The following is a 12,972-nucleotide window of genomic DNA, read 5'->3' as shown; positions in this document are numbered from 1 at the left end:
TTTTCTGACATTATAAAGTGGAACAAACCATCAAAATAATCAAAATCTGAGAAAATTAGACAATTCATTTTAGAGAAACGAATAACAAAAGTGCTTCTGGTTTAAACTCTGCTTTGCCTTTCTAAACTTAAAAGTTTGACTCTCTCTCTCTCTCTCTCTCTCTCTCTCTCTATATATATATATATATATATATATCTCAAAGCTCCTTTAGAAATATATATAAATTATATATATTTCTTTATATATAGATATAATATATAAATATATAATATATAAATAGAAATATATAAATATTTATATATTTTTCTAAAGGAGCTTTAATTTTACTTTATATTGCAAATTTAAAAGGTATTTTTTATTTTACAAAAGGTTATTGAATTAACAATTAGAAAGCTTTTAACTTGTTTTCTTCCTTCTGTACATACTAAAATATTGAATTTATTCAATATGATTAGGTTTGAGAAACTGAATAATTATTAGAGAATTTGTGAATTCATTCATTTTGCTAACTTATATTGTTTGTAAATACTTAAAATATATTTAACATAAAATTATATCCAAAAATCCATAATATTCCCCTCTGAATGATTTCTATTTACACATTGAAGAGATTTAGTTACTTTTAACTTTCTTTGAGATTTATTTTTCAGAAACATATGTAACTTTTTCATGTGAAATGATAAATAACTGTCAATAAATGTGGCAGAGAGAATGCTTATCAAATGTCTATGAGTGTTCCTCTCTTTACAGACTTTCTTGCAGTTGGGTTATGGCCATGTGAATAATTCTTGTCAATGAGAATGTGAGTGAAACTGATATGTAATTGCTGGTCTGAGGCACTTAAGAAATAAAGTAAGTTTTCTGTGCTTTCCTAACCTCATGGCTGGAAGAAAATTCACAATGTTTGAGTTGCAAAGTGAACATCAGCGGAACTGAATTGTTGAGTCATCATTGGAAGAAAGCTACCAAGAAGAGCTAGCTAGTCACATCAGACAGTACGTGAGTGAAAAATAAACTTTCATCAGGCTAAAGCACTGAGATTAGAGTTTTAGTTGTTACTGTAACATAGCTAGTCTTCTTCTAACTAATATAGTACTTCAATCTACTTTTTCTCAAAATGTTATGTATTTAGGAGGCTCCAAATCAGCAATATTTATAATTTTAAAAATTTAAATCTTTGAACTAAACTTTTTACTACTACTAGAAATACTGTTATATCCACCATGTGTATCAGTCTAAACAGTTTTAAATGTTTACGTGCTTTTCCATTATTTTTATTTTCCTGCTAAATGTGATGCAAATCATAGTGTGATTTTACTTTCCATCTTATTGTCAATCGTGTTTACTTGTCATATAAAAATAATTTGTTTTTTACAGTTACTAGTTAAATGAATTTGTTGACATGTTATTCATTTCTGTGAGTACTGTTATTTCTGATTTCCCTTCCTCCCCATGTCCTCTTCCTTCCTCTTCTCCTCCCCATCCCTATCTTTCCTCCTTCTCCTTTCCCTCCTCTTCCTTCTCCTTCTTCTAGTGTACATCTGTGGGTGGTAAACAGTCAACTTTTATGCTGAAAAATGTCTTTACTTTGGCTTCACTTTTGAATTTGAAAATGCATTTTTATGTTCACAAAAATCTGGATTAGTTTGTCCATCATGACTTTCAAAATAACTCTACTTTGTTTACTGGCCTTTATCTGGTACTTGATTGTGGGCAATCTGTCTGAATTTTCTGGTAGTTTTTCTGATAGCTCTGATAGCTTTGAGGATTTCTTTCCTAATTTTTCACATTCTTCAGTCCCACATAGTGTGTTTGGGTATAAATTTATATTTCTTTGCCTTCAGAGGGTGCTATCAATCTGTGGGCTCATGGTTTTCTTCAATTCTGAAAATACTTACCTATCATTTCCTTAAATATGCTTTCTCTGCCATACTAGTCTTTTGTTTTTCAAGTATGCCAAAACTATTCTTGCCTTAAAACTTTTATCTGCTGTGGTTCCAGTTTTTAGAACAGTCTTCTCCCAGATATTTGCAAAACTTATATCATCAGATCGTTCCAGTTTTTCTATAAATTTAACTATATCTGAGAGTCCTTCCTAGACCATCTTGTCTCAAATATCGCTTTCTTTGTCACTTGCTATTCTCTTATTATGCATTAATTTTTGTATAGTATCAATTGCTTCTCTCCTTTATATACTTATTTGTTCATTTGTTTATTATCTTATCCCACCATCTTATAAAATTAAAATCTCAGGAGGACTTTTTGTTGGCTTTTTCATTGCAAAATCAAGTGCTTAGAATAGTGCCTAGCACGGCCGGGCATGGTGGCTCACACCTGTAATCCCAGCACTTTGGGAGGCCAAGGCAGGTGGATCATGAGGTCACAAGATCAAGACCAACCTGGTCAACATGGTGAAATCCCGTCTCTACTAAAAAATACAAAAATTAGCTGGGTGTGGTGTCACACGCCTGCAGTCCCAGCTACTCAGGAGGCTGAGGCAGAAGAATTGCCTGAACCTGGGGAGTGGAAGTTGCAGTGAGCTGAGATTGTGCCACTGCACTCCAGCCTGGCGACACAGCAAGACTCTGTCTCAATAATAATAATAATAATAATAATAATAATAATAATAATAATAATAATATAAGAATAGTACCCAGCACATAGCAGGTATTCAGTAAATATTTCTGGAGTGAATAAAATTTCCTCTAACCTCTTAGTTCCAGCACTCTTGTTAGATGCATAGTGTCAATATTTTTATGTTTCTTTATGTTGTTTTCTGTGTTCTGGATGAATTCCTTAATATACTTTTATATCTGAACTAGAGATTGCTCTATTTTGTGTTTTTTAATTTTAATGACTATAAATTTAACTTCTATGATTTCTTGTTGATTTTTTTTTCTTTTGAGACACGGACTTGCTGTTGTCCCTGCTGGAGTGTAATAGTGTGATCATGGCACACTGCAGCGTCAACCTCCTAGACTCAAGCCATCCTGCTGCTTCAGCATCCTGAGTAGCTTGGATTATAGGTGCATACCACCGTGCCCCGCTAATTTATTTTTTGTAGAGACAGGGTCTCACTCTGTTGCCCAAGCTGGTCTCAAACTTCTGACCTCAAGCAATCCTCCTGCCTTGGCCACCTGAAGTGCTGGGATTACAGGCATGAGCCACCATGCCTGGATCTCGTTGATTTTTTGTCACATCAGCTGTTCTTATTTCACCTTGGATTCATGAAAATGTACCTGTCCTCCCATATACCTAGTCCAATGTTTGCTATAAAGCTATGGTTGCAGAGAGTGTGTTGACCTTGGAGTAGAAGAAGCATCTCAAACTATAAACTTTTATCTTCTTAACCAAAGTATATAACTACATACTTTGTATGATTAGCTTTTAAAGTCACACTCTAATTAATCACTGTTTCTTGTAGGCTTTTATTCAGTCAGCAAACATTTACTGACCATCTACTATGGGGACAATATTTAGTAAAGGTGAAGGATCCATTGATGAATATTAGTTATGTCCCTTGAGAGGCTCCTAACATTCTAGATATCCACACTAATCCAGTATGTAAAAACAGAATATAAAACAAAACCTATTAGACTTCAGATGAATCTATTCAAGATTCTTTTTTTTTGGAAAAAAGATATAAAAGAATATCCTAAAAGATATTCTTTTGGTTATATTCATGATGGAATATATCATCTCAGTCGCACTTAACAAATGATTCTTCTGAGATACATGATTACATTCTTTATAGATTTCACTAATGAAGATTCAAGAAGGCTAGGATTAAAGCCACAAAGAGTAGACTATACACACCCAGCCTGTAGCCCTCAAAAATTACATTTTCAATTACAATTTACAAGTGGTTTACTCCTATGATGCAGTGTTGTGTCTTGGTGTAATTAAAACTAAAAAACATTTTATTTTTAATGAGTTCATGATATGATAAACAAAATTATTGTTATAGCATGTTTTCCTGAAACAATTCAAGGCACTTAACTAACATATCTCTGACAAAAACATTTATGTAGTCAATTAGAAAGGTTATATTTTTTTCAAAGAATAAAGAAGCAATTTGTGGCATGGAATCATTTTTCTTTACCTAAGGAATGATACTGTATACTGCATTAAAAATATCTCCAAAATATAGCAGCTGAAAGCAAAAAGTATTCTATTATATTTAACATTCCCCAAAGCTCTGGAGTTCAGAAAGGACTTGGCTGGGTGGTTTTAGCTTAAAGTCTCTCCTGTGGCTGCAGTTAGAGATTAGCTGAAGCTGCAATGGTGAGTGGCTGGGGAAGCTGAGGACTGCCTGGCTGCTCTGCTTGGTTGTTCTCTGGAATATAACTTGGGCTTCTTTGCAGCACAGTGGACTAAGCATAGTCAAGGGCTTATAGTATGCTCAGGGTTCCAGCATAAGTGCTTCCATATACAAAGCCTTGATTACTTGGCTTTTCCTAATCAACCTTCAGAAGTCACTCAATGTTAATTCTGTCAATTCTATTAGTAACAAGGGAGTTCCAAGCCCACCCGGTTTCAAAGGGAGGGATCATGGATTTCACCTCTCAATGAGAGGAATGTCATCGTGACATTGTGGAAGAGAATGTTGGATGAGAAATATTGCTACTGCCAACTTTGGAAAATACAATCTGAATCTGCCATAGCCACTAAGAGAAAAACAATGTCCTCATAATTTGTGCGTTTGTAAACTACGGAGTCCAGGGATTTGTCTAAAGTCCCTCTGTTAGAGGCAGAGGTAGAAAGACAACATATATCTCCTAATTCCCTCTCATTTTTTTTTTGTTTGTCAACAGGTTTCTAGAAGAAAATTCAGGACCTAGAAACAGTTAATATAAGTTGTATCCTTGGGAATTTCCAAGCATACCAAATGACTACCAGGTATGGAAAATCTGCAATACCCATACAATGGGGGCGTATACTAGAAATCTGTCTTTACATTTGATGGCTTAACTGTGCATGTAAATTCCACAGTGCAAATTTATGCATTTGATTATTTATTCATTCAAAACGTACGTTTTAGGCCCTTTGAAGTGTACTAGGGAATATTTGAACACATATCAGGTAAATTTAAAAAAATTCCTCTGCTTAGGGCTCTAACCCAATAAAACAGTGCAAATGTCAAATGTAATACAATATTGACAGGAATACCTAATTTGAAGAACTGAAAATTATTTGCTTGAGTTGACCTGAAATGCCCTTAAATTTTACCAGCAGATGGTCAGACACTGCCTTGGGTACACACTAGAATGTATGTTTAGTATATTTTATAAAACAAAAGTCTGTCCCCTTTATGTGTGAAAAATAGGTTCTTTTAAAATACAAAATAGTTTTCTTTAAAGAAAAAATGTTTCAGACTATTTCCAAGTCTTTCTCTAAAGCATTCAGCCAATATATTATTAATTCTTTTGATTGTATAGAGAAAAATGCTCAATGACTTATATTTTCTTTAATACCTTTTTTAAACATCTAATTTTTCAAATTATAAAAATGTATCATTAAGATACAGGACTTAGGCCCTACAAAAGGTGGTGCAGAAGGCAGTTTAATGGAAGACAATTGCATTATCATTGGGGACTAGGGGAAAGAGATGGTGGAGAAGTGCCAGGTAATCAGGGAACTGCAGCATATAGGGTGGAAAAATATGCCGGGAATAGCGTGGATATTAAAAGCATCTACATAAATCTATATAAATCCTAAATCCGTGATTTCAGAATGCTGCTGTATAGTCAGAATAATATTCTTGTGCAGTAATTTGGCAATTATGGAACAGCATGCAGAAGTAGAAGTTTATAGGTGCTATTTGAAGACATGCATAATTTATAGATAGAATGCAGATTCAGACAATAGTAATTCAAGGACACTGGAACATGAGAACAGCAACCAATGGTTCTAGGAATCTGAAGAATGTCCTGGCATAGTAAAAGGTTTGGAAATGTAGTTAAGAAAGCATTGAGTTAGACATACTTTTTAATAGAAAGCTTAGAGATAAAAAGAGAATAAGGAGACATTTCAGAAGAGGTAGGCAGGTTAAGACTACAGAAACTTCTAAACAAAGTCTTGTTGAGTGTACAAAGAATAAAAATATACGTTGAATAAAGGGCATTAATGAAAGTATAATAATCAGCTATATTAGTAACAAAGATGATTATGATAAAATATAGAATTCCAGTGTTATTTATTTAAACCAATGGAGCATTAGTAGTCATAATACACTTTTCAAAATAGAAATTGATTCTTACATAACTATTTTTAAAAATTCTCTAAAATTAATTTTAATTACATTCCAAAAAGTTTTAATAATATAGAAGCTCACTTACAGCAATTATTTATCTTACTAGTATTTTAATGTATGATTTTTTGTGGGTTTGTTTTTTATCATATTAAATCCTTACTTGGCTTCCTATCAGGGCCTCAGAAACTATGAAACTTAGTTTGTTTCTCAATTACTCCATAAACATGGAGAGTAATTTAAAAATCATGTGCATAGTCATTTTAAGTCTTTTTTTTTTTTTTCGGAACTTCAGCTTATCATTGAAGAAGTCACATGCTGAGTGAGCTGAAAATTCTATTAATTAGTTACACACTAGTAAGTAAGCCTTAAATCCCAGTGCCAATTAAATCTATTTATAATTGCATTGGGAGCTGATAAATAATAGGTCATGTTTTCAATTTTCATATGGATTCTGATCTATGGCATTCTATATAAAAAAGTAATTATTTTAAATATATCCAATTTAAATATTTTTCAGTATTTTTTATAATTTGAAGGCATTCCTTTATTTCCTATACATATGTAACTGATTGAGTGGATTCCCAAGAAAGCTATTACAGTAGGAGTTTTTGTTATTCGCAATGCATTACGATTAAAATTACTTATATAAGAATTTATAAATGGCTGTGAAAGTTTTAAATTTGAACTTTAGAAACATTACTGGTGATCACATTACACTTTCCTGTCTTTCTGTCGTATATGTGTCTTGGGGGTAAAACCTGACCCAGGCCCTAAGGTGACTGTGCAGATTTGAGGAACTCCTTCATTCCTATTTGTAGGATGTCAGAGAAGGGCTATGGGTAGAAGGAGATGCTCTGTTCTATTTACTGTTGCCAATCCAAACTCTATATTGTTTGATATTTCATAACACAATTTAAAAGATCATTTCATTCAAATTTTTAGGAAATTATTTGCCTGTAATCACTAATTGCATGTAATTGGTGAGCTAGTGAAGATAATTATTGACATTTAAATATAAACATAAATTCCCAAACAAGAAGTGATATATAGTCTTAAACTAGACACTAGTAGTATATAATGTATAGTCAGAAATTAATTCTTTAGAACACATTATAACCTTTTATGTGAATATTTATATATCAAAGATATTATAAAAAGATAATTCATACTATACTCATCAATATATGAGATTAATTAATGATTTACATTAACATATGACTCAAAAAAATTAGGCCAGGTACTATAGTTAAATTTTATGAGCCCTGACTCAGAGAGAGAGGTTTATTAAAATTAAACTACACTTTGAGAATATTTTATAAATAAATATAGGCAAGCTTGTATATTATAATCAAGTTTGTTTTCTTCAAATCGTTGGTTCATCTTAAGGGACCACTGAAAAGATGGTAAGTTCTTAATACCAGGCTTTTCTTCCTTGATTACCGATACCACTTAGAATAATGTTCCTTTTGGTTCTATTTCTACAGTCAATTTGATTAAAACTCATTTATCACTCTAAAGAGACAAATATTTCCAGACATTGAACCAGGTTTCTAGGCTCTTTCCTCTATCCTGTCTTTGAACACTTAGTTACCACTTCTATAAATTTGGATGATGCCTCAGGCTCTTATACAGGATTTTATTATACATGCTTTTCATTATGACTCAAAACATTTATCTTTCCAATTATTGATTTTCCCAAGTCCTAAGCTTAAGAGAATTCAGTTTTACTAACCAGTGAGTCATTCCTGAGGTAAATTTTTATTTTATCAACAGGATAAAACAATCGATGTAGGGCTGCAGCTACCCAAGTGATAGTTAATAGATCACATTTAGCATCTGATTAGAAGATGCTACATATGTCCTGAAAAATGTCATCACACATTTTATGAGGTTTTTGACTCTAAGAGACCTATGTATTCAAATTATGGTAACTTTGAAATATGAATTTTGCATTATTTTTACACAGTGGGCATTTATTTTGTTATTTGTAATATTAACTTGTTCAGTGTTATATTTTCATTTTTTATAACCAATGATTAGGGAGATTCTTCTACTCAAAAATGTAGAAAAATGCAATATTTTTTTCTTATTTTTTGAAACAAAATATTTTGGTAGATTCAATGACTAGAGTTGAGAGACTTCTTACTGGTCAAGAATTAAAGACTGGAAAAAAATGCAAATTCAAAATAATTTGGTGTAAGTCTCTGAAGGAGAAAAGAAAACAACCTTCTGAAGCTTCCTTCCTTTCTTTGACACGGGTGAATCAGAATTTGTAGGATTACCATAGTCTTTTTATGATTTTGACAAGGAAAAACTGTACTGGGCCATCTCTGCGGTGTCATGTATCTTCTTGTGACACCGATAGTCCAGCCCACACTGAAGTATGTTCCAGAGAATTATGGGAATGAGTAGGTGCCTGACCACTCCATGTATGTTGTCTTGTGAGTTTCGTGACTGGGTGAAAGTTACAAGATGATTGGCTGATGTTTGAAGTAAAGTCCCTCAGAAGAAAGGGAAGCTAATAGGTTGAAATAAGAATTAGACCTGTGACCTTAATTTCATGAAGCCCCTGTTCTAATGGGCTTAGCAAACCAGTCTGAGAAATATAGAATTATAGTAACAAGAAGTTGGATCAGTTTTCCAAGTGCTGACTAATTTATCTTCTTCTTTCTAGGCAAGAGAATGTTAAGCTATACCAGACAATTTAATCACCTGCATCCAGGATATGAAATCCAGAAGTTTCAATACTATTAGCAGACTCTGACCATCAGAATTTTTTTTTTTTTATACAACTTACATTTCTCTCATGAGAGTTTAAGTCTGCTTCCTTGTCTTATACTCAGGGAAGATGAAAGGCAGGTAACATATCCTGTAAAATAATTAACTGTAAGGTTGTTAAGTTATTCTCCTGCCTTTGCTATTGCAGTTTAAGTAAACAGTAAATTAGTTTAAACTTTTCCTACATCATTACTTTAGTTAATGAATTCTATTTCTTAGAGCAGTTTTAGATTGATAGAAAAATTAAACATAGAATGCAGACATTTCCCATCATCAATTTATTTCTATTTAACTAAATGGTTAAAAACTCTTATTCTTTTGAAAACGTCACTAAGGAATTTATGTTGTCAAACAATAAAGCCATATTTACTGATACTGCATGTAAGGGTTATGACAACACAAAAGATGCTGGGAAAATGGATGAGCACCTTCAAATAATAGTGCATAATGATGTTGGACTAGCTGACAACATTAAAGTCTGCAAAGGTAAAGGTTAGAAGAGACCTAATGGCTTCTTCCTCTTTTTTTTTTTTTTTTTTGGCAACGGAGTCTTGCTCTGTCGCCCAGGCTGGAGTGCAGTGGCGTGATCTCCGCTCACTGCAAGCTCCGCCTCTCAGGTTCAAGCAATTCTCCTGCCTCAGCTTTTCGAATAACTGGGAACTACAGTCGCACATCGCCACACCCGGCTAATTTTTTTTTGTATTTTTAGTAGAGACAGAGTTTCACTGTGTTGCCCATGCTGGTTTTGAACTCCTGAGCTCAAGCAATCCACCCACCTCGGCCTCCCAAAGTGCTAGGATTACAGGCGTGAGCCACCGCGCCTGGTCAGCTTCATTTTTTTAGAAAGATGTAATTATCCATCTTTATGTACAGCTGAGGGAAAATAAATTATCTATACCTACCGTTACTCATATTTCATAAAATGAGTTGAGACTGTAGATATAATTTCTAATCTACTCTAATATTATGACAGATATTGGAAGGTAAAGGTTGCCAAATAAAAGTAGTCCATCAAGATATGTATTTTTCATGATTATGAACTTTTTCAGCATACATTTACATTTAATTATGTATGTACTGTGGATGTATTTTTCTTTCACATAAAATAAATGCTCAGTAGAATTTCTATAAATTCTAGATCTTTATATTTTTTATGATGACTGATTTGCATTATAATCTTAGATGATTTTTATCTTGCATAATGGGCCAATTTCTACATAGCATCTAGAAGCCATTATCTGAAGTAGATTGTATAGCTAAATTTTATGAATCTTTAGAGAATTTATAGAAGAACAAACAAGGAAAACATCTTTCTTGCTTTAAGACTTCTATCTTGATTGTCATTCTGAGACATATGTTTTAAGCATTATTTTGGTGGCTGTGTATACTAGAAAAGGAGCTTGTGTAGTTGGAATAGAAATCAGATATCTTTACGGAGATGGTTGTTTATCCATCCACCATATGCTAGACAATGATAAAGCCTGATGAACACAATGATGAAAGGACATAGACCCTGCCCTCAAAGAGTTTACATTCCTAAGAGAAAGTGCCTAAAAACAATTTTAAAAAATACACTTAGCATTTGAATTATTTGACTTGGGAATTCTTTTCCTGGAATTAATATGAAGGAATGTAGAAACATTCAGTCTTCTGAAGACAGTTTTGTGCTGCTTTGAGAATGCTGGATTAGAGGTGATATGGACAAGACTTTCCACCAGGGCAAGGTGGAAAGAGCATTGAGGTATAAGGGAAGGACATGGACATTATGAGACCCATGTGTGTTCCTCAGCGTCCCCAGGACTTTGGGAAGACACCAGTTGATTTCTGTGGTCCTTTCCTCATCATTCTTTAATGACCACCTCACATAGGCACACAGTGCTTATCTGGCGTGGGTATTGACTACTTGGCCTTGATGGTGGAGGATGTAATGATGGGTAACATTTCCTACTATTTTTAGGGCTTTTCTTGGTCATTTTTTTTCAATGAGAATTTTATGAAATTTATATTGTTTTAAATTGCCACAGTAAAGCAGAAGCGTGCATATGCTTCCCAATTTATGCAGCTGACTTCAGGTACTTTAATAACAACCAGATCCATTATGTTTTCAACAATAGCAACTTTCCTCTCCAGGATTCTGGGTGGGGGCTGTCATCCTGAGTGTCCTCTATCCCTGTCTCCAGCTCCAGTGCAGCTCTGACAGTGCTCCATCCTTGTCAAAAGGACTGCAGGGAACAGCAATAAAGTAATGTTTGGCATGGTAGGCTGCAAACTGAAAATAGCTAAATAAATGAAAGTTTGCTCTGATTATTAAAATAGTCTTAATATACATACTTTAAGATGAGTGTTTACATTTGTTTCCTCAAAATAAATTTGAAGTCCCCTTTCACAGAAAAGCAAAATAATGAAAAAGAAGAGAGCTTTACTAAATCTAGAGAAGCTATCTCATTTTGAAAATGAGGATTTATTGTTTAATGGGTACAGAGTGTCAGTTTTGCAAAATGAAAAAGTTCTAGAGATCTGTGGTACAACAACATGACTATAATTAATACCACTAAACTGTGCACTAAAAATGATTAAGGCTGGGTGCAGTGGCTCATGCCAGTAATCCTAGCACTTTGGGAGGATTGCTTGAGGACAGGAATTTGTGACCAGCCTGGGCAACATAGTGGCACTCCATTTCTACAACATTCAAAAAAAAATTTAGCCAGGCATGGTGGTGCTTGCCTGTAGTCTTAGCTATTCTGGAGGCTAAAGGAGGAGAATTACTTGAGGCCACAAGTTTGGGGCTGCAATATGCTCTGACTGTGCTATTGCACTCCAGCCTGGGCAACAGAGTGAATCCTTGTCTCAAAAAAAAATATTATGAGTTTTTTAAACCAAAATTTAAATTAATAGATAGCATTTCTGCAAGTAACTATTTCAGAACTATAACTCTAGTATCCTCAAAGAAGTCCTCAAAGTTAGATTTCAAATAGGAGTTTTATGGTGAACAGCCAAGTGTGGCAATTGAATGCCAGTTTTCAAATAATACATATCACATATCCTTTATTCCTAAAAAATGTAGTGCAGATAAGCTTGTTGTAGTGAACAAAGATGTTTCTATTAAGCAAAGGAATCATTTAAGTAGCTATGCTTATGAGCTTCAAGAATTACATTTTTATGAGTAAAACAGATAAGGATGTAGATTTTGTGGGAAGAGGTAGCTAGATAGCACATGAAATCCTAAACTATGTAAGTGATCTAGTATGTAATTTAATTCATGCAATATTCACTTAACAGTGTGCTTTGTTAATCACAGCAATAATGTTAATTTAACAAAGTATCTTCAGCATATATTACTAGTTTCTGATTAAAATGCAATTACAGTGTTGCTGTATGAACTTGGCACTACTATTGAATGAACCCATTAATGCTGGGAAATCAAATTCTTGTATTGAAAAGGTAACAGTAGGATTATTTATAATGATATAAAATAATTCACAAAATGATCTTGAGCATGAAAATAATCCCTGAATAAAGTGCACCTTCATTTCAAGGGGCTGACAAGATTAGAGAGACAAATTACATGGAAATTGGGTAGTATGAAATGGCCAATGGTGAAAGGGTGCTAACTCAAGCAGATGGAAAACGAGGCATAAAATATCTCATCATATGTATTCAGATTGTGCAGTCCTACCATTGGCAACTTCAATTTGAGGTAACATCAAGAAAGCTGGAAATAATATATCTGAGCTCCTAGTCTATAAAGATACGTGGTATTTTCTGAAATAAAAGCAAATTGTATGATTAATTAAAAGTTGTTAATGGAATAAAAAATATTCTTGATGCTAATGACAGTCTAAATTTAAATAAATTTCTGCAGCATAAGAACTTCTTCATAATTCAAATGTTTGTTTTAGAATTAGATATAATGCTCTAAATCCTAAATCTACAGCAAAAAG

At 33.4% G+C, this 12,972-nt stretch overlaps 1 protein-coding gene and 1 long non-coding RNA gene across 13 annotated transcripts in view; one reads left to right on the top strand and one right to left on the bottom strand.

Moving 5' to 3' along the window:
- The window catches only part of SPAG16 (sperm associated antigen 16), a 1,126,038-nt gene that overhangs the window by 159,573 nt on the left and 953,493 nt on the right, over positions 1-12,972 (bottom strand). The window contains exon 16 of one of the 12 annotated variants that reach the window (XM_011511815.3): positions 12,720-12,793. The exons of the other annotated variants lie outside the window; for them this stretch is intronic. Within the exon in view, the coding sequence (XP_011510117.1) occupies positions 12,735-12,793 (59 nt within the window). The 3' untranslated portion in view covers positions 12,720-12,734. Of the gene's footprint in view, positions 1-12,719; positions 12,794-12,972 lie in introns of those variants that run through there. 12 annotated transcript variants of the gene reach the window in all.
- On the top strand, positions 4,409-10,163 carry LOC124907973 (uncharacterized). The gene is made up of 2 exons (XR_007088072.1): positions 4,409-4,899; positions 8,928-10,163. It is a non-coding gene; the product is annotated as an uncharacterized LOC124907973 (long non-coding RNA).

Source organism: Homo sapiens, chromosome 2 (genome assembly GCF_000001405.40).
Source record: "Homo sapiens chromosome 2, GRCh38.p14 Primary Assembly".
In the NCBI taxonomy this organism is placed as follows: domain Eukaryota; kingdom Metazoa; phylum Chordata; class Mammalia; order Primates; family Hominidae; genus Homo; species Homo sapiens.
Note: the sequence above shows the minus strand (reverse complement) of the source record. Positions and strands in the feature narration are given on the sequence as shown.